The 21,422-nt window shown below is 38.2% G+C and overlaps 1 protein-coding gene across 10 annotated transcripts in view; it reads right to left on the minus strand.

The window, feature by feature from the left end:
* CCNI (cyclin I) overlaps positions 1-21,422 on the minus strand; it is a 28,835-nt gene that overhangs the window by 2,561 nt on the left and 4,852 nt on the right. For 2 of the 10 annotated variants that reach the window (NM_006835.3, NM_001348133.2), the window contains exons 2-6: positions 16,534-16,690; positions 8,792-8,920; positions 6,534-6,608; positions 6,247-6,387; positions 5,435-5,665 (exon numbers count right to left, since the gene is read on the minus strand). In NM_006835.3, coding sequence (NP_006826.1) covers positions 5,435-5,665; positions 6,247-6,387; positions 6,534-6,608; positions 8,792-8,920; positions 16,534-16,647 — 690 coding nt within the window. In that variant the 5' untranslated portion in view covers positions 16,648-16,690. The remainder of the gene's footprint in view (positions 1-5,434; positions 5,666-6,246; positions 6,388-6,533; positions 6,609-8,791; positions 8,921-16,533; positions 16,691-21,422) is intronic. The other 8 variants (NM_001348132.2, NM_001348138.2, NM_001348135.2 and 5 more) reach the window with 8 other exon arrangements.

A 21,422-nucleotide genomic window follows, 5' to 3' on the forward strand; every position in this document is an offset into this window, starting at 1 on the left:
CGTATTTACCACATTTCAGTATAATAATCTATTTAACCATTTAGCCTTTCCATTATAGACTACAAGACCAAAGGTGTGGCATTGTATTATATTCATCTTTTTATCCCTAAGTTTCTGGCACAATGACTGTACATGGAAGGCCTTTAAATTATTACCTGTAGTAAAGTGTCTCTCTTCCTCACTTTCAATTACAGCATTGTCAAAATAACCTTAGTTAGCATCATATATTCCTTCCCTGCTCTCTCCAGCGGCACCCCAATGCCTACCAGAAATAAGCTAAACTGCTTAGTTTAGTATTAATAAGAATCTCCATAATCTGATCTCAACCTTCTTTTCTAGCCTTATTTCCTAGCATACCCTCAACTTGTGGTCTACACTCTTGCTCAACAGTCCTGCTCTATATGATGCACTAATCTTCCCCTTTCTTATTTTACCCTTAATCATCTTATTTCTACCTGTTGAAATTGTATTGCGCATTCCTTCCAGGACTGGCTAAACACCATCACCTTCAGGAAGCCTATCTTGACCATTTAACTATCAGGGATCACTTTTTTCCAGTTTTGAGTATTCTGGACATTTCTGTACCAAGTCTTACTTATCCTCATATAACCTGCAGCACTCACCATGACTGTTTGCAATACCACAGAGAAAATAGGGGAAAATAACGCACTCTACAAGAACACATTTGGTCACAAAATTATTTTTATCTCTAAATACATTCACTATTTGTTACTGAAAAATACCAGAGGAAAGAATGGTAAAAGGCTGATGTTAGTCATTGTATAATACAAATGCAAAGTAACTGAAACTGTCAGAAATATACAAGAAAATGGCAGATTTTAGCATCTACCATAATGTTCACTGATTTTTTTCCCCTAGTTTGAAAGGCATTAGATAACACACTGTGGGTAAGACACTATTAACTAGTATTAGAATTTGTTCTCCCTCCCTTAAAAGAAAAAAAGTTAACATAACACTTAAGATAGTCCCTGAACTATCAAGCTTACATTTAGGCTAGGTCTTATTATATATCCCAGGGATGTAGAACAAGCTGAAACATGCTAAAAACATTGGAACAAAGCACAGAGAAAGGATGGAGCTTCTGCCAATATTTTAGGAAGCCTAAAAAAAAAAAAATGAAAGAAACTGGGAGTAAAAAAGGGGCTATAGTGTAGAAATTATTTCTAAAAAATAAGTACAGTCATCCCACAGTATCCATGGGGGATTAGTTCTAGGATCCCCCAAAAGATAACAAAACCCAACATGCTCAAGTCTCTTATATAAAATAATGTAGTATTTGCATATAACCCACTCGCATTGTCCTGTATACTTTAAATCATCCCTAGATTACTTATAATACCTAACAGAATGCCTACACATCACTTCATCTGTGTAGATTCAATGTAGTACTCAGCATGCCACAAATTCCAGGTTTTTTTGGAACTCTGTGAAATTTCTTCCTGAATATTTTCAATTCACGGTTGGTTGAATCCAGATGCCAAACCCATGGATATGGAGAGCCAACTGTACCTCGTTTAATGAAATGTTCTTTAGCAAATGAATGATATTTATTGGCCTAAAAAGGTAAAGGTACCACAAATATTCTAATGCCTTGGTCACTGGGCATAATAAATGCCATGGCAGAATCAATACTATGGCAGAATCCTAAAAAGACATGTATTTAAGTAAGAGGAAGACTATGTCACTATAATCTTTCTGTGTGAAAAAACGAAGTAAATAGAGTTATATTTTAGCGGTGGGAGACTGACAAGAAATGATAGAGCTAAAAGACCTTAGAAATTATTCAAAACAAAACCATCCATATGAACTCCACTTCCACCCAAGTCCCAAGTAAGTCTTTTCTCCAAAATAACATCAAAATAAATTCCTTCTAATCTAGTACAATCTGAATTTGTTCTATAAGACACCAAAATAATTTGTTCCTTCTTGAGATCCAGTGGAAGAAACAAAACAAGCACATATACTGGAACTACCAAAACTCTCGACACCAGACAAGTACTCTAATGGAGTTGATAAAAAGGACTTAAATGAACTCTAATTATAAGGTGTCAAGAGAATATGTATTATTTTTTATAACAATAAATGACATAAATGGTAGGTCCAGATGGATCCAGGTTTGATGAACAGCATGAAGCACTGAGGAACCTGCTGGAATAGTCTGACCACAGCCACCTTCAAAAAGAACCAGGAGACTGGTGGGGAGGGGTCTGTTTTTTTGTTTTTTTTTTTTTAAATTTGCTTCTTTTTACTTTTAGATGGTACATGTGCAGGTTTATTAACTAGATATATATTGCATGATGCTGAGGTTTGGAGTACAAGTGATCCTGTCAACCAGGTAGTGAGCACAGTACCCAACAGTTTTTCAACCCTTGCTCCCCTCCCTCCCTCCCCCTTCTAGTAGTCCCCAGTTTCTACTGTTGCCATCTTTATGTCCGCGTGTACCCAACGTTTAGCTCCCACTTGTGAGAACGTGTGGTATTTGGTTTTCTGTTCCTGCGTTAATTCACTCAGGATAATGGCCTCCAGCTGCATCCATGTTGCTGCAAAGGACATGATTTTGTTCTGTTTTATGGCTGCACCTACTCTAGTTTTAAACTAGAACATGTACTTTGACTACTGCCCAGCTAGGAACTACAAAGACCACCACACTAATCTAGGTAGAGTTAACAGCCTGAGTTTATAAGGCTAAGGAGAGAAAGAGGTTTAGCCATCCCAGAATGGTGACCAACAGGTGGCGCAAGAGCTTAAGGGGGTGTAGTGGGAGGTTAACAGGGACAAAAGGAAGATTGCCTTTCAAACCTGGGAACACTCACCATACTTTGTCTCAAAGTGGGGGCTCAGGCAGAACTAGTGAGAGTGGCCTCCTCACAGCACGGTATGTCTGTGATGGACTCTCCTCAAACCAAGACACTGGGAATCATGTCGCAAATAATTTTGGCATGATCTCATCAATCTGATGCAAGACTTTCCTATATTAAAACCAGAAAACTAGGAAGAAATCTGATATTGTGGCCTTGTCACACGTCTAAACACAAAGATATTAGACCTGGTGTTCCCTACCTGAACACAGCAAACTTAGCAAAAACAGAAATGAGTCCTAAAGAACTAGGAGCCATCCATGTTTGGACCACATGGGTTGGTGTTAGAGAACTGCTAGAACAAGTCCCAAAAGTCTCTACCAAGATTTATGACCTTCCTTTTCTTCACTAACTTCCCCACTGCAATTATATACTACATGGGGCATATCTCTTAAAAAGAAAAAAAATTCACTGTATTTCCAGTTTTCAAACTACGTCCAAAGACTACCTACATAATATAATCTAAACCTACACTACATAGGTAGATTTCTAGCTATGGAAGGGAAAACGCTATGTTGAGTGGAGATCTGCCCTTAAACACAAGTATAGCTCCGTTCTTCTATTCTATATTCTGGGATTGTGTGTGTACAAGATTTTCTTTGGGGAAGGGGGACTGGGAAAGGGTTCCACTTCTAAAACAAATTATGAAAACCACTGAACTAGAATTTTTAAGGTTTGTGTGGTATGAAAAAAAGCATTGGTTCTTTTAAATCACTACTAAGTAGCTCTACACGGCTCTAAGAAAGTCTCCAGTTCCCTACACCAGAGCTATAAAATAAAGGAGGTGAATGAAATAACTTCTCCAAAGATTCTGTCAAATCCCAGGTTTGCAATACTCCTTCAGCTAAGAAGAAAAAAAAGTTTCAGTGAATACTCTCTTCCTCTAGCACCAGAAAACTTACAAAAGAGTATCAGATTTTCCAGTGTTTTTCACTAGGAAAACATGATCTCAAAGCTACAGAATACACATGCTATTTACAACATTATTATTTATGCTTCAAAATCTGTCCTCTGACACTAACACTTTAAAGCAATCTTTTTCTGTACTATCTTGAGAGTAAGCACAGAGAATAAGTCAGAAGGCATTTAGAGAGATGTCATTTGTTCCAATAAAAATAATGTAATGTAGGAGGTTTTCTATTAAGCCTATTCCTCTACTTCACAGTCTAATGTGAGTGATTAATATTCAACTTTTCTTTCTAACACTCCAGGGTGAGCAAAGTAAATTTTCTGTGTCATATTATTCATTTAAATGGTGGTTTATCATAATTTCTAAAAATTCTAAGTAGCAACTACCTCCTAGGATTTATTCTCATTACAGCATTTAATTATTTTAATCTAAGACAATTAAGATATCCCTTCAAAACAAAAAACAGCCCATGTTACACTACATAGGTAGATCTCTAGCTAACATACTGCTCTGATCATCAACCTTTTTATGAAAAGACTGAGCTCCCCTCTGCTCACAAACTAGAGCCTAAAATTCTTGGAAGCACTGACATACTTGTTTAAAAAAAAAATTATTTTTTTGCCTGGTTCATTTTCTTCAGACATACTTCTTAAAATGTTTGCTATAAGATCAATTATAACTTTCTTAGAAAAACACCAAATTCAACTATTATGTTTTTCTTTTATAATAATCTAAATTTTTAGCTCAATAACTGCAGTTCTTTGCTACAATTAGTTTATTGCAAAATGTTAAGCTTAGAATTTCACAATCTTCTAAGTAAAATCCAATAAAACAAATCAGAATAACTACTGTTAAATAAGAATAAATAGCCATATAAAGGGAAAGTAGGTTCATGAGTCTTTTATGGATTCAGGTGGCAGGAAAATGGTCTGCAGCAGATCTAAACTCGGTAAGTTCTATTTGGTGACATGAATAGAACCAGTAAGCCTTCTCTCAAAGTAGTTGCTAACATACAGCACTCTCACCAACTTTCCATTTGAATGAGAATTTTCTCCACTGAACCTTTACATTTTACTTAGGTAGTTGATAATTTATCAACCTATACATTTTATAATAATCTGTAGATACAAGTTACAAACTAATCTTAGGTAATAATGGAACTGCCAGGGAAAAACCTCTTTCAGAAAAGTGGCTTCTACCTGCCAGTTTGGTATAAATACTTCACTTACTAGCCAACAATAAATTATTTGCTTGTCTAAAAAGCAACTTATTCTAATTTTTGTTCCTGACATCCGTTATAAAATGAGTGAAGTAAAGAAGTACTACATTAAAACCTACAGATGTAGCTAGGAAGTTTCTTTACAAAAAACTAAAGGACAATATGGTATTGACAATCTTATGAACATTTTAGAATTCTTAAAAATAAGAGAAATGGTTAAAAGGAATCTTAAAAATACTATATAAGTTTTATATGAAAAAAAGAGATCACCTAGCCCGTAAATTTAAAATATATACTTTACTCTTGTCTACTCTTAAGAATGGTTTGCCATTACAACATGAGAAATGTCTTTTAGTTTGGTAACTCTATGTATTCCAATAATAGAAAAACTTAAAAAGAACACTATTTAATTAGACTGACACCTACCTGTGCTTTCTGAAGCAGTTCAATTGTAAGAGAAAGCCAATCAGGAATGAGTTTCTCCATTTCCAGACTAACCATGGCCAGAGCAAGCATGGATCCTCTGAATTGCAGAAGTTGGTTGCAGGCCATACAGTGAAGTAGTTGCTTGGTAAGGACTGCCAAATGTTGAGATGGGCTCAATTTGGGCAAACTGAAAAGTAACTGAGGCCTAGTTGACACTGCAATGGCATGGAACTGAAAATCACAAGAACATCATTTTAACTTTATTTAAATATCTGGGAAATTACATATAGAAATTGATGCAACCTATTCAATTTCTTTTTTTTTTTTTTTTGAGACAGAGTCTCACTCTGTTGCCCAGGCTGGAGTGCAGTAGCATGATCTCAACTCACTGCAACATCCGCCTCCTGGATTCAAGCAATTCTCCTGCCTGCCTCAGCATCCTGAGTAGCTGCGATTACAGGCGCCTGCCACCATGCCCGGCTAATTTTTGTATTTTTAGTAGAGACAGGGTTTCACCATGTTGGCCAGGCTGGTCTCAAATTCCTGACCTCAAGTGATCCGCCTGCCTCAGCCTCTCAAAGTGCTGGGATTACAGGCGTGAGCCACCGCGCCCAGCCTAACCTATTCAATTTCTAAGTCTGCGAATTAAGCTTCAGTGATATGACATATATACTAATTTATAATTTTTCCTTGGATATCAAGTTTTCTTTTTCCTATTTCCAGTACAAAATAAATGAGTAGGCAATCTATTTTTTAATTTACTGAAAACTACACACTCAAATAAGAAACTAAAAGACTTCAGGTATATTTACAATATGAAGAAAATCCAATGGTGTGGCTGTGTGAAGATCCCAATTCAACTTATCCAGAATAATTCTCTCCATTCTCAAAATTTCAGATGAGGAACATCCACAGAAACTGTCTCTTGCCAATACCTTTAGTACTGGAATTCTCTATCCAAAGCAAAGGGGAACAGGGACAGGGAGAAAAGGACAGAAAAGAAACTCATTTATGATTTTTGTTTTAGCAAACGAAGCAAGTTAATAAATGTGGAGAGAAATTTTCACGGAAGAAACATTATCTTGAAAGGATTTATTACCTCATCTTCCTCAACAGTCTTGGCAGCTAGGAAAAAACAGCTGATTGCAATACAACTCAAGTATTTTGGATGAGCCTAAAATTTTGAAGAGGGAAAAAGCAACTTTAGTGATTTTTCAAAAACAATTTAACTTTTTGTAACTGTTTTAAAAACCTAGATATGCAGATGAGACAGGTATACACAAAATACTATGGAATTCAATTAATGTGACTGCCACTCATTACTTTTTAGATCAGAGCTAACTTTAAGAACAGGAAAGAAAGTTTATTAAAAAGCTTTAGAGCAGTAATGAAAGGAAGGAAAGTACACTTGCAAGATCAAGTGTGTCTAGAGCTAACTTTTTTTTTTTTTTTTTTTTTGAGACGGAGTCTTGGCCTGTCGCCCAGGCTGCAGTGCAGTGGCACGATGTCAGCTCAGTGCAAGCTCCGCCTCCTGGGTTCATGCCATTCTCCTGCCTCAGCCTCCCAAGTAGCTGCTACTACAACGCCCGCCACCACGCCCAGCTAATTTTTTTTTGTATTTTTAGTAGAGACGGGGGTTTCACTGTGTTAGCCAGGATGGTCTCATCTCCTGACCTCGTGATCTGCCCGCCTCGGCCTCCCAAAGTGCTGGGATTACAGGCGTCAGCCACCGTGCCCGGCCTGAGAGCTAACTGTTAGCATTACAATCCTAGCCATATGATATTCTACAAAAATAATATCAATTCCATTGCTCAAAGTTCAACCAAAGCCAATTAACCAAAGTTCATTTCTATCCAGCAGAAAAAAAGCTTGATTTAGAAGTTTTTAATAAATAATATTCCCAAAATTAAAAAATTTTTTGTGTATGTAAACATTTTTTAAAGCTAATTGCTTGCAATCTGGGATATCTGAAAAATGCCTACTTTTATCTCAGCAACAAGTCCACATCACTCCTCCCTCCCTCTCTACTACATCTAACCTACTTTTCACAGATAATTCCACAGAAAGATGAGTTTAAAGTTAGTGTCCTTTCTTGGACAGTACATTTTTCAAAAATTATTAGTGAACACATTGTTGTAGTTTCTATCATGAGTTTCTTGCTGTGTTTATTAAACATTTGAAACAAAGTTGGAGAAATTTGTGGAACAATTAGAGAATTTTGCCAAATATCTCATTTTTTCATATTTCTTATTTATTGGGTCCTGTCATGTTTAGTAAGTGTCTTAAGAGTAGAAGTTTGAGCAGCTATTCAGTCTTACACTCCGTAATTATTTGGCTTCTATTCTGTATACCTAATAAAGCATTTAATTGACAGTTCCCCCAGTTTACATATTCTTTTGCATACTAATGCCTACAAGTTTAAATACTATGCTACTTTTTCATGCCTTGCCATTAAATAAATGCTCATTTTCTGCTTTAAATATGTTGAGGGCCTATTTACTAACTTGACACAGCCAATGACATGGCAATGGGGACAATATAAAACCTAATTATTTGTATGCTGTCATTCAACAAAAATATACCAAAGTTGCTTTATGACATCTTGTTATATACCAAAGTAAGCCCGTAGAAAGCACTTTGTTTTTCAGAAAGCCACACAGTATGGATATTCAATAAGTAGTGACAGAGAAAAACGTGCAATAGGCTTATACTTTATTCTAGTCTGATTCCTTGTCCACCTCTGTACACCAATATGTTAGAAAATGACTAAGTATTCTGCTGATGCTATACGGTTTGTGCTAAAATCAAGAGATAAAAAATTTCATAGGCTAAAAAGTTATGAATACTTGTAACAAAAAGAAAATTACAGAATACTATTAGAAACACTTCCAAAAACACTTCTGCTTTTTAAACAATAGTAGAAAGCCGGGAGTGGTGGCTCATGCCTGTAATCCCAGCACTTTGGGAGGCCAAGGCAGGCTGATGACTTGACGTCGGGAGTTCAAGACCAGCCTGGCCAACACGGCAAAACCCTGTCTCTACTAAAAATACAAAAATTAGACTGGCATGGTGGCACGTGTCTGCAGTCCCAACTACTTGGGAGGCTGAGGCACAAAAATTGCTTGAACCCAGGAGGCAGACACACTCCAGCCAGGGCAACAGAGCAAAACTATCAAAAAATAAAAATAAAATAAACAATAGCAGAAGACATCACCATGTCTTCTTATGGGTACATACATCATTCTCCAGCAAAGTTCTCCACTTCTTTCTACCTTACAGAATGTTCACTAATAGCCTCTAGTTTAGCATACATACACTCAAATGAGGTTATATGTAAGTCTATCTTAAAACACTTACCTTTACGGTAGCTAAAAACCTATCCAAAAGACTGCTAGCCAGAGCAAATGTTTCTGGGTAAAGGTTGAATTGGTACTTGAGTTTGGCCAGCCATTGAATTACTTCATCTCTCTGGGATGGAGAAACATTCTATAAGGGAACAATTTTGAAAACAGAAGACAAAGTTTGAGCTATCATCAAGAGTATGTTTAGAATTCTCTCTCATAAAAGGTTAGGTAATACTACAAAATATATTTAAAAATGTTAAGGTTATTCAAAATCTATCAGACTTGAGACACATGAAATAAAACTTTATGTATTATCACATTTAATATCAATATCCAATATTCTCCTACTCTTTATTAAAATTTTCACTATGTCATCTCACCAAATATCCATAGTTGAATTAAATTTAGGTGCTCAGAGAATATAACATTTTAAAGTTTAAGTAACACTATTATCAACTGATAGTAATTTGGAGTTAAGTTACCCCACCTCTTAAGATTAAGAAAATACAGTGAATTTCTCCCGCAGCAAGTAGCCATTAACTTATCTTAGGAAATATAAATGAACTATGATAATGGAAATGATAGCCCATTTGAAAAACTAAAATCAATAGTAATAAGTAAAAGATACCAGGGACAACAGATGAATTATACACTTAGAGATGATGAAAAAATATTGAACAGGAAATTAATCTGAAGTAAATTACTATTTTGAAAAATTTCCACAAACACAAAACATTATTGTTTTATTGTTGTTGTAAGCCTATTGAGTATAAGCTTAATTTTTAGCAGGGACACACTTTAAAGTAATAGTGATTAGAAAACTTTTACTCTTGAGTTTTGGAGTCGCCATTAAAAAAATAAAACCGGTTGTTTATTTTGGGAACATTCAGTATTCTCCTTACAGCTCTTTCAAACTGTAGTTTCAAACAGTTTGAAAGAGCTGTAAGGAGAATACTCAAATAATATGTAGGAAGATTAAAACAACAATGTTTTGTGTTTGTGGAAAGCTTTCAAAATAGTCATTTACTTCAGGTTGATTTCCTGTTCAATATTTTTTTTCATCATCTCTAAATGTATAATTCATCTGTTGCCCCTGGTAACTTTCACTTATTAATATTGATTTCAGTTTTTTAAATGGGCTATCATTCTGTTATCATAGTTCATTTGTATTTCCTAAGTTAACCATAGTAAGCCTACAATGGTATGGAACACTAGAAGTTATTCCTCATATCTAGCTGTAATTCTGTATCCAGGCTACTTTAAGATCTAGTTCTGGACTAAGGATCCATAAAAATCCCTGAGAACCAAGTAAAGCCAATCACAAGACTTCTGGATGAAGAGTTAAGCATTCAAGAGAAATTAAATTCCTATCAAGATGAGCTTTTATCCAAAATGCCACAACAAATAAGGAAAAGTAATGTTAACTAAGCCAGCCAAACACATCAACAAGGAAATAAATTCCCAGGAGAGGTAGGTGATGTTATAATCTGATGAAACTGGGAAGGCTTTTAGGGAGATGAAAGGAACGATGACTTACAGTAGCTATGAAAACAAGAACACCATTAACTCTAACCTTCAGTTAGAGATACAATGTGGGGTATGGGAGAAAAAAAAAAATCCCTGAATGACAGATTACATTAAATAATGTCACTATTTGGTGTTTGGCATTAAACAATAACAGAAACATACAATTGTAAGAAGAATCACAAAGGTAACATACAAAAAAAGAGAATACAGTTATATGGAGATTATCATATAGTTATAACTAAATGACATAACTAATGTAAAGCATATATATGGAATGCAAACGTACTCAAATATTAGTTCTCCTTTCCCACCTCTAAACTACCCAATTCTCTAATAATGTCAGAAAAACAAATTTACAAAACATTATCTATGAAGTTATTTTAAACACTGTTAACAATTAGTCATGAAAGAAATCATGACAATATCTTTGAACTTTAATATTCCATATACTTTTTGAGACAGGGTCTTGCTCTGTCACCCAGGCTGGAGTACAGTGGCACAACCATGGCACACTGCAGCCTCGACCTCCCAGCCCCAAGTGATCCTCCCACCTCAGCATCCTGAAGTAGCTAGGACCAGAGGTACGTGCCACCAGGCCCGGCTAATTTTTTTTTTTTTTTTGAGATGGAGTCTCGCTCTGTCACCCAGGCTGGAGTGCAGTGGTTCAATCTCAGTTCACTGCAGCCTCCGCCTCCTAGGTTCAAGCAATTCTCCCTGCCTCAGCCTCCCAAGTAGCTGGGATTACAGGCTTGTGCCATCACGCCTGGCTAATTTTTGTATTTTTAGTAGAGATGGGGTTTCGCCATGTTGGCCAGGCTGGTCTCAAATCCCTGACCTCAAGTGATCTACCCATCTCAGCCTCCCAAAGTGCTGGGATTACAGACGTGAGCCACTGCGCCCGGCCTAATTTTACTTTTTTGTAGAGACGAGGTCTCACTATGTTACCCAGGCTGGTCTTCAACTCCCAGGCTCAAGTAATCCTCCCACCTCGGCCTCCCAAAGTGTTGGGATTACAGGTGTAAGCCACTATGTTTGGCCCATATACCAGATAGTAAAATTTAACAACAGGGCCAAGAAAAGCATTCCTGCATAGCCAATGTTATCATCACTAGCCAAAACCAGCAATAATTTTTTTAAAATCCAAAAGATAACAGTTTAAGAAGACTCAATTTAACTGAAGTAATACTGAGTCTAAGGTCACTTTTTCAAATCAATTCAAATATGTACTAAACAGTAATATCATCATGACAGCATTACAAATAGTAAGTTCTGCGCCTAATTCATTTCATTCCTATTCCTCTAAAATAAAGAATGAGAGAGAAAAAGAAAAAGCCCAAAACAGTATTTCCTGATTCCATCAGGTGAACTGTTTCTCATATGGACTGCTTAAATAGGATTAGAAGGATTCAGTAGTTGAACAAATAATCCTAAAGAGAATTTATAATGGATTGATCAAACATGGTAAAATATAGACTGCTATTAATATATATTCTGTATATATATTATATTCCACATGCTGCTAGTCTTCTCCTTAAAATATACAACCTCCCCAGCTTTAAACTCTAAAAGGTTCACCATTACCTAAAAGATTAAGTACAATTCCCCAGCATGGCATACAAATCTATGACCTACCTCTTCTTTGTTGTTGTTGTTTTTGTTTTTTGTTTTTGAGACAGTCTTGCTCTGTCACCCAGGCTGGAGTGCAGTGGCGCAATCTTGGCTAACTGCAAGCTCCGCCTCCCAGGTTCACACCATTCTCCTGCCTCAGCCTCCTGGGTAGCTGGGACTACAGGCACCCGCCACCACACCCAGCTAATTTTTTGTATTTTTAGTAGAGACGGGGTTTCACCATGTTAGCCAGGATAGTCTCGATCTCCTGACCTTGTGATCCACCCGCCTCGGCCTCCCAAAGTGTTGAGATTACAGGTGCAAGCCACCATGCCCGGCTATGACCTACCTCTCTAACCTCGGACATCTTCCATCACTTTCTGTCTTAAACTTCATGCTGTAATAGTAACTTCTACTGATGATCCTTCCTTGCCCCTGGTATTTTACGTTACTGCTCCTTTGTTCATATTGCTCCTACTGACTGGAACGCACTCCCTTCTCTCTCACCTGCCTTATTATGTATCTCTTGAGAGCTATTTTGATGTTACTCCCCGCCAGATACTTTTCCTGATAATTCAAGTTGGGCTGAGTACCTTCCTATGTTCCCACAGCATCTCATTACACCTGTTAAACGTTCAACATTTTTTTAAAAATTAAATTTCTGGGCATGGCTCACAATTGTAATCCCAGTACTGTAGGGGGCCAAGGCAGGAAAACTGCTTGAGCCCAGGAGTTTGAAACTAGCCTGGGTAACACAGTGAGACTTCATCTCCACAAATAAAAAAATTAGGCATGGTGGTGCGTGCCTGTTACCTCAGCTACTTGGGAGGCTGAGGTGGGAGGATCACTTGAGCCTGGGAAATAGAGGCTGTAGTGAACTGTGATGGAGCCACTGCACCCCAGCCTGGGCAACAGAGCAAGACCCTGTCTCAGAAAAAAAAAAAAAATTAAATTTTTCCTTTTGGCTTTGATGAAGTAGGAAGCAGCAAATCTAAACTCCAGTTGAGAATGACTAGAAAAGCTGTTAACAACCTCTTTTTAAGATTCCTTAGAGTTCTAAAATTCTACTGAAAATCATCTGTATATCAACAATTTGTGGCAGGGTTTTATCTTTGTAAATCAAAAGCACTTTGGCAAAATAAATTGAGAACATCTGAAAGTATGTGCCACTTTGACCAGTTTCAATGTTTTCCCCAAATTCATGTAACAAAATTATCATGAACTTGAAAGTACTATTACATAATATAAAAGAAGTTCTCTGCAAGTGCCAAGAACACAGTAAGGTACCTGAATGAATCATAAAGAAATGATAATCACCATTCACTTAAATGCTTACTTTGAGTCTATTATATGCAAGTAAACAAAAATGACACCACCATACCCCTCAGGGAAACTCACAGTCAAATCACCAGAAAATTATAATACTTTGTGCTGTCATAAGGGAAGCAGAGTGTGGCAGAAACACATAGAAGGTGAGTGACAGCTGCATAATATTCTTGCCTGACCACACTGTCCTAAATTTGGGGATAGGGGATGCAAATTAAACAAGAATTATGTGAGAGACTGACTTCAAAATATAGTTGGGGCAGGGGGGAAGTTAGAAGGAAACTGGAGGAAAAAGGCATAAGAGAAAGCTTAAAAATATCTTACTTTTCCATTTTTACCAACACTTCAAAACCAAATTAGAAAAGTCAGAGCAACAGTGGAAAGGGAGGTAAAAAAAAAAAAAAAAAAAAAAAAAGCCAGTCCCTTAGAGGAAAATAAGAGTTAGAACTAGAATAGAGAAGGTGCTGGGTGCGGTGGCTCATGCCTGTAATCCCAGCACTTTGGAAGGCCGGATCACAAGGTCAGGAGATCGAGACCATCCTGGCTAACACAGTGAAACCCCGTCTCTACTAAAAAATACAAAAAATTAGCCGGGCGTTGTGGCGGGCGCCTGTAGTCCCAGCTAATGGGGAGGCTGAGGCAGGAGAATAGCGTGAACCCGGGAGGCGGAGCTTGCAGTGAGCCAAGATCGCGCCAGTGCACTCCAGCCTGGGCAGCAGAGCAAGACTCTGTCTCCAAAAAAAAAAAAAAATAGAATAGAGAAGTGTCCCTGGGGGTTACCCTGGCAAGCAACTCAAGCCCCTATAGCCTTTTACCCCTATTCTTAACTCCTATCCCCACCAGACCAAGGCCACCCAAATTTTACAAGTATTAAATATGGCTTCTACTTGGCATTACTAAAGGCAAATCCTTAAGAAGTGGATCTCTCTCAGAAGTTCTGATACTATTCTGTTCTCTGGTATTACCACACCAGTATTCATTAAATCACCTACAGAAATAGGCCAGATTTGGGTGTGGTTGCTCACGCCTGTAATCCCAGCACTTTGGGTTGCTGGGGCAGGAAGATCATCTGAGGTGAGGAGTTCGAGACCAGCTCGGCCAACATGGTGAAACCCTGTCCCTACTAAAAATACAAAAATTAGCCAGGTATGGTGGCGGGTGCCTGTTAATTCCAGCTACTTGGGAAGCTGAGGCAAGAGAATCACTTGAGCCCGGGAGGCCGAGGTTACAGTGAGCCGAGATCATGCCATTGCACTCCAGCCTGGGCAAAAAGAGAAAAAAACTCCTTCTCAAAAAAAAAAAAGAAATAGGTCAGATTATTTGGTAATATAGCAATATACTACAATCTAGGTAGAATATCACCTTCAAAGACCAGGCTGTAAAAATATATTATTGTTGGTTACATGCTGACTTAAGGAGATAGCAGGAGGAGGAAAGGAATGGTCCTACAAGCAGCTATAAAAAAGTTTTGAGGCTCACTAGAATGTCACAACATAAGGGCAGGAATTTATTTTCTCCTGTTGTATCCCCAATACCTAGAATAGTGCCTAGAGTATAGCAGATACTCAGCAGACATTTGCTAAATGACTTGAATTCCCAACTAATCTAAAAATCACACATGCGCGCGCGCGCACACACACACACACACACACACACACACACACACACAAAATATCACAGGAAGAGGACTACCTTAGGAAAAGGATCGAATTATAATTTTTTTTCTTTTTTTTTTTTTTGAGACGGAGTCTCACTTACCCTGTCGTTCAGGCTGGAGTGCAGTGACGTGATCTCGGCTCACTGCAACCTCTGCCTCCTGGGTTCAAGCAATTCTCATACCTCAGCCTCCCAAGTAGCTGGGTCACAGGAATGACTCACCACACCCAGCTAATTTTTGTATTTTTAGTAGAGATGGGGTTTCGCCATGTTGACCATGGCTGGTCTCGAACGCCTGACCTCAGGTGATCTGCCCACCTCAGCCTCCCAAAGTGCTGGGACTACAGGCGTGAGCCACTGCGTCCAGCCCAAATTATCATTCTATTACTTATTAAAGTCTTGAGCAAATTGGGACTACTGAGTACTTTTTCAAAGAATTAAATGAGATATTAAATGAGATAGCATATATATAAACACTCCTCATTCAAGTTAACTAATCAGTTTGCAAAATGACAAGTAACAGTAAATGAAGAATGTATTTCTTTAGCTTGTGGGAAAGAATAAGTAGGAAAAATTAGAATTGAATTAAAAAGGCATATATACTTTCAAAACCAATAAGCAAAGGATAGCCTAAAACAACACACGAGGAACTTACATATTTGCCATTCATTCACTCATGCATATTAAAAGAACATTTGACCACTATTCTATTTTCCAAGCACCATGTTAGATATTAAGGATAAAAGACATATAAGACATCTTATACAATAAACTTTTGGAGTGGATAAAGTTCACAGTTATTTGTGAAAAATAATTATATATGACAGAAGTATAAAAATTTCTAAAAGAAAAACTATGCAGCTAACAGTAGTTAAGAGACCAGCTGGCTATCTTCTAAAAAGCTTCCAACATTGGTATTACCTTAGTAATTCACATGAACTCCTTACCGCTAATGATGAAAGAGTAGGTTTTTAGTTGACTAAAGACAATGGTATGAAGATGTTCAGCCTCTGTGGCTAACTATAAACTATATATCTAAAGAAGGTTACTACTGTTAGTATAGATTATGATGAAAGAAAACAAACCTAACTATTTTCCCAAAGCTGTAACTCAGATAACAACAAAACAGGTCAACAAACAAAAACAGTTAACTCTTGTTTCAGAAAGAAAAGGCCACAGCAGGAGCAGGAGTTTTTAAAAAAGAAGAGGCCGGGCATGGTGGCTCACGCCTATAATCCTACCACTTTGGGAGGCCAAGGCTGGTGGACTGCTTGAGCTCAGGACTTCCAGACTAGGCTGGGCAACATGGTGAAACCCCATCTCTACCAAAAATACAAAAAATTAGCCAGGCATGGTAGCATGCGCCTGTAGTCCCAGCTACTCAGGAGGCTGAGGTGAGAGGATTGCTTGAGCCCGGGAGGCAGGGGTTGCAGTGAGCTGAGATCATGCCACAGCACTCCAGACTGGATGACAGAGTGAGACCCTGTTACACAAAAAAGAAACAGGGAGAGTCTCTCAAATACAGCACATCCTTAAATGGTACACACTCCTCCAATGTAGTGTCAAGATATTATTATGTATGGCAGTAGTATGTTTATTTCTAATAAAATTCATCTGTCTTAAGAGAAAAATCATTACCTGATTTGAAGGCATTTTCCGCACATTCACTTTCCACATCTGTGCTTCCCTAGTGATTGCCTTTTCCAACAGGAAAGACAATCTCTGGTTTTCCAAAGGCCCTGGAAACTTCATGATATCCTTTGGATCTGCCTGCTACCCAGCTTGCTGTAGCTACCTACAGAATCAAGTAAGTTTTAAAATTAGTTATAGAATAAGTGTAGCATTATATAAAGTACTAATTAAGCAACTCATAAAACAAAATAAGAATGCTATGAGGCAGTATAGGATTTTATAGCTCTTTAAAATATCGTATTAAAATACCAAAATAATCAGTTATCTAAAACATTCACACTTGAAATCTGAAATTCAGTTATAAAGAGAATAAAAACAAGGCCATGTAATTGATGGAACCTTTGGACTCTGATCAAAACATGTTATTACTGTTTCAAATTGTCAAAACTTTGTCACTGGCTTTTTTACCAGGAATTCTTAGAAGTAGTTATTCCAAACATTCCTCTTAAAAACCTAATCAGATAAGGACCACTAACATTTTTCCTTCATTAAAAAGAAAATATATTACATTAAATCCTACCCATTCCCACTTCTTCAGTATGAAACCATACCCTCCAGTATGAAATCATCTTAAATTGCGCTTCCAATTCAGTATCCATTAGCTACACATGTGGATATTTAACTATGAGCTGAATAAAATTTAAAAATTGGCCAGGCATGGTGGCTCACGCCTGTAATCCCATCACTTTGGGAGGCCGAGGCGGGTGGATCACTAGGTCAGGAGTTGGAGACCAGCCTGGCCAACATGGTGAAACCCCATCACTACTGAAAATACAAAAATTAACTGGGCATGGTGGTGGGCGCCTGTAATCCCAGCTACTCGGGAGGCTGAAGCAGGAGAATCGTTTGAACCAGGGAGGCAGAGGTTGCAGTGAGCTGAGATCACACCATTGCACTCCAGCCTGGGCAACAGGGTGACACTCCGTCTCAAAAACAAACAAACCAAAAAAAAAAAATGTATTTCTTCAGTCACAATAGCCTTACTTCAATAACCAGATGTGGCTAGTGGATACTATATCGGACAGTGCACAAAAGGAACATTCCTATTAATACAGTAAGTTCTACTGAACAGTGCTCACCTAGAAAGCTCCACAGTACATTGACTAGCACTCTAAAATGAGCAGCATGTCTAAATAGCAAGTTTAGCAGTGCAAGACAACATAGAGTCCAAGAGAAATGTCTCTAGGTTTTATGTTTATATGTATTTGGAAACAAGAGTCCCACTCTGTTGCCCAGGTTAGAGTACAGTGGTGTAGTGGCTCACTGCAGCCTCGAACTCCTGGGTTCAGGTGATCCTCCTGCCTCAGCCTCCCAAATAGCTGGGACTACAGATGCACATCACCAAGCCCAGGTAATTTTGTGGGGTTTTTTTTTTTTTTTGTAGAGATGCAGTTTTGCTATGTTGCCCAGCCTCACGCAGTCCTCCTGGCTTGGCCTCCCAAAGCACTGGGGTTACAGGTGTGAGCCACCGTGCAGGCTTCTAGGTTTAAAAAAAAAAAAAAAAAAAAAAAAAAAAAGAAGCAAACTACAGACTTGAGGTTTGACTGTGTGTAGAAAATTGGATTAAGAAACTGCTAAAGAATGTGAAAAGGTGGCTGGGCACGGTGGCTCACACCTGTAATCCTAGCACTTTGGGAGGTGGAGGCGGGCAGATCACGAGGTCAGTAGTTCCAGACCAGCCTGACAAAACATGGTGAGACCCCCGTCTCTACTAAAAATACAAAACTTAGCCAGGCATGGTGGCAGGCACCTGTAATCCCAGTTACTTGGAAGCCTGAGGCAGGAAAATCGCTTTAACCCAGGAGACAGAGGGTGCAATGAGCCAAGATTGCACCACTGCACTCCAGCCTGGCGACAGAGCAAGACTCCGTCTCAAAACAAACAAACAAACAAACAAAAAAGAATGTGAAAAGGCTTAGCTGGATTTGTTGAAAGGTAAGCAACTAAAAAGGTAATTAACTTCAGAAAAAAGAATTTAAGAAAGTAATGTATCACAATATTTATACAGCAATAATAATGAAAAGACTGGATAGGGATCGCAATATGATAAAACTACATTGGCAGGATGTGGAGACATAACTATGGATATTGGAAGAGGGTAAAATAAAAGCCACGTCTTTACATTTCATAGTAGGAAATTCATAAATATCTCAAACTGAAATGTCAAAAAACAGCAGCAGAGCAAGTTGTTTGAAAATGTGATGCTAAATAACGGGACAAGGAGGAAAGAGTTGGGAGTAGTTAACCTCTGCAGAGTAAGAAAAGGGTGAGAAAGGCCTAGCGTAGGAGAATGCTGTTTTTCATTATAAATTTCACTAACAATTTGACTTTCTCAACTATGTACCTGTAAACTATGTATCTGTATTACACACTTCAGATTCATGGGCTCTAAGAATTTTTTTAAATATCCAGAATTAACATGTAAAAAGTTCCAATTTTTTTAAAAATAAAAAATTTGGAAAAGCAAAAAATAGCAAACCACTTCTTTAATTTCCACATTCTATCCCAACTCCAGCTACTATCCTCCTTCCTATGTACCACTCCACATATGCTACCTATTTGCTTCTCAACTTACTAGAGACTAATTCTGGTTAACTCAATTATGATTTTGTTAATTTTTGTGTCTTTAAACGCCTGAGTTTTTGCAAATCTTCTATAATTAGCATAAAATATCTTCATACTAAGATGACAAGGGGTAAATAGAGAGGAAAAAGAACTAATATTAATCCAAAAAGACCTATCTCAAAGGTAATTTCTTCTAAAAACTCTTGATTCTTTAATCATGTCATAAAGCAGCTTTCTGTTAACTCCCCAACTACGTTATAAATTCCTGGCCAGGCGCAGCGGCTCCGGCCTGTAATCCTTGCACTTTCGAAGGCTGAGGAGGACAGATTGCTTGAGTCAAGGAGTTCGACGCCAGCCTGGGCAATGTGGTGAAACTCCATCTCTATAAAACATACAAAAATTAGGCAGGCGTGGTGGCACGTGCCTGTGGTCCAAGCTACTTGGGAGGCTGAGGTTGCAGTGAGCCAAAATCATGCCACTGCACTCCAGCCCCAGCAACAGAATGAGACCGTGTCTCCAAATAAAGAAATCCCTATGCAGTCACATCTGCCAATATCATTTTTATATATATATATTTTTTTTATTATTATACTTTAAGTTCTAGGGTACATGTGCACAAAGTTCAGGTTTGTTACATATGTATACATGTGTCATGTTGGTGTGCTGCACCCATTAACTCATCATTTACATTAGGTATATCTCCTAATGCTATCCCTCCCCCCTCCCCCCACCCCACAACAGGCCCCGGTGTGTGATGTTCCCCTTCCTGTGTCCAAGTGTCCTCATTTTTTTTATTACTCACTGTGTCCACAGCACAGTACTTCGACGGAACAGAGACCCAACCAATTGTTCCAGTTTCAACCACTGGTGCCCCAAACAAAAACACACAACCAAAAACTCTACCCCCACCTGTACCAACCCACTGTGTGTGGGGTTTTGGTACCTTCTTTTTTTTGATACATCCTTGTTCACAACTTTAACCTACCAAAATCTAATCTCTTTCACACCAATCCTTCCAATCTTTGAAGGGTGCTATCATGCTCACCAATTCATCTTTTCCATAGCTGAAAACTTCGATAGCTCCTCACGATATTTTGCCTCTTCTAAATTAGCTTTAATTTTACCATAAATACAGTCTAAAATCATGGGCTTTTTTTTTTTTTTTTTGAGACAAGAGTCTCACTCTGTTGCCCAGGCTAGAGTGTAGTGGCACGATCTCGGCTCACTGCAACCTCCACCTCCTGGGTTCAAGTGATTCTCCTCCCTTAGCCTCCTGAGTAGCTGGGATTACAGGCACACACCACCACACATGGCTAATTTTTGTATTTTTAGTAGAGGCAGGTTTTACCATGTTGGCCAGGCTGGTCTTGAACTCCTGACCTCAAGTGATCTGCCTGCCTTGGCCTCCCAAAGTGCTGGGAGTACTGGCATGAGCCACCACTCGTGGCCCTCATTAGCTTTTTTTTTTTTGAAGACCACACCTCGGTATCAATTCAGATATAATTTACGGTCAACAAAAACTCTTAGGAGACTTTCTCAGGTTCCTTGTTAAGCCAGTTCTACCCCTACCTGCCCCAACCCATTGTGTGCGAGGTTTGGGTACTTTCTTTTTTTTTTTTTTTTTTTGACACATCCTTGTTCACAACTTTAAAAATATTCTTTATAAAAAAGAAAAAAGGTCATCCTGTTATATTCTATCCCTGTTGCATACTGCTGAGATGTTCTGAGATTCCAATTTTGTTGCCTTGGTGCCTTTCTCAGATCTTCAACAATTTGGTAGGCAAGCTCACTATAATTTCTTCTAATGCAGACATAAGTATTAACACTAGAAACGGAATGTAGGCCAGGTGCTGTGGCTCATTCCTGTAATTCCAACACTTTGGGAGGCCAAGGCAGGAGGAGCTATCGAAGTTTTGGGAGGCCAAGGCAGGAGGAGCCCAGTAGTTCACGACCAGCCTGGGCAACACAGTGAAAATCTTTATATAAAAGAAATGGAATGTAAACCAGATGACCATCTGACAAGAGATATTTAGAAGAAACAGCTATTTGGGTCAAGATTAGACTTCATAGGTTCTAAGGTTTCTTCCAAACTCCTATTAAAAACCTTAAAACTTTAATAATTCTTTCACGCCATTAGCTACAACCAAATGGATCCACCAGCCTTCACAAGCTATCCCAACAACCGACTGTCACTAGTGACTCAAGTTCCTTCACTAGGTTTCAAGATTATTTTTAGGGGGTTTAGATGGTACAGAAAGAGACACATAAAG

This window comes from Homo sapiens, chromosome 4 (genome assembly GCF_000001405.40).
Source record: "Homo sapiens chromosome 4, GRCh38.p14 Primary Assembly".
Taxonomy (NCBI): Eukaryota; Metazoa; Chordata; class Mammalia; order Primates; family Hominidae; genus Homo; species Homo sapiens.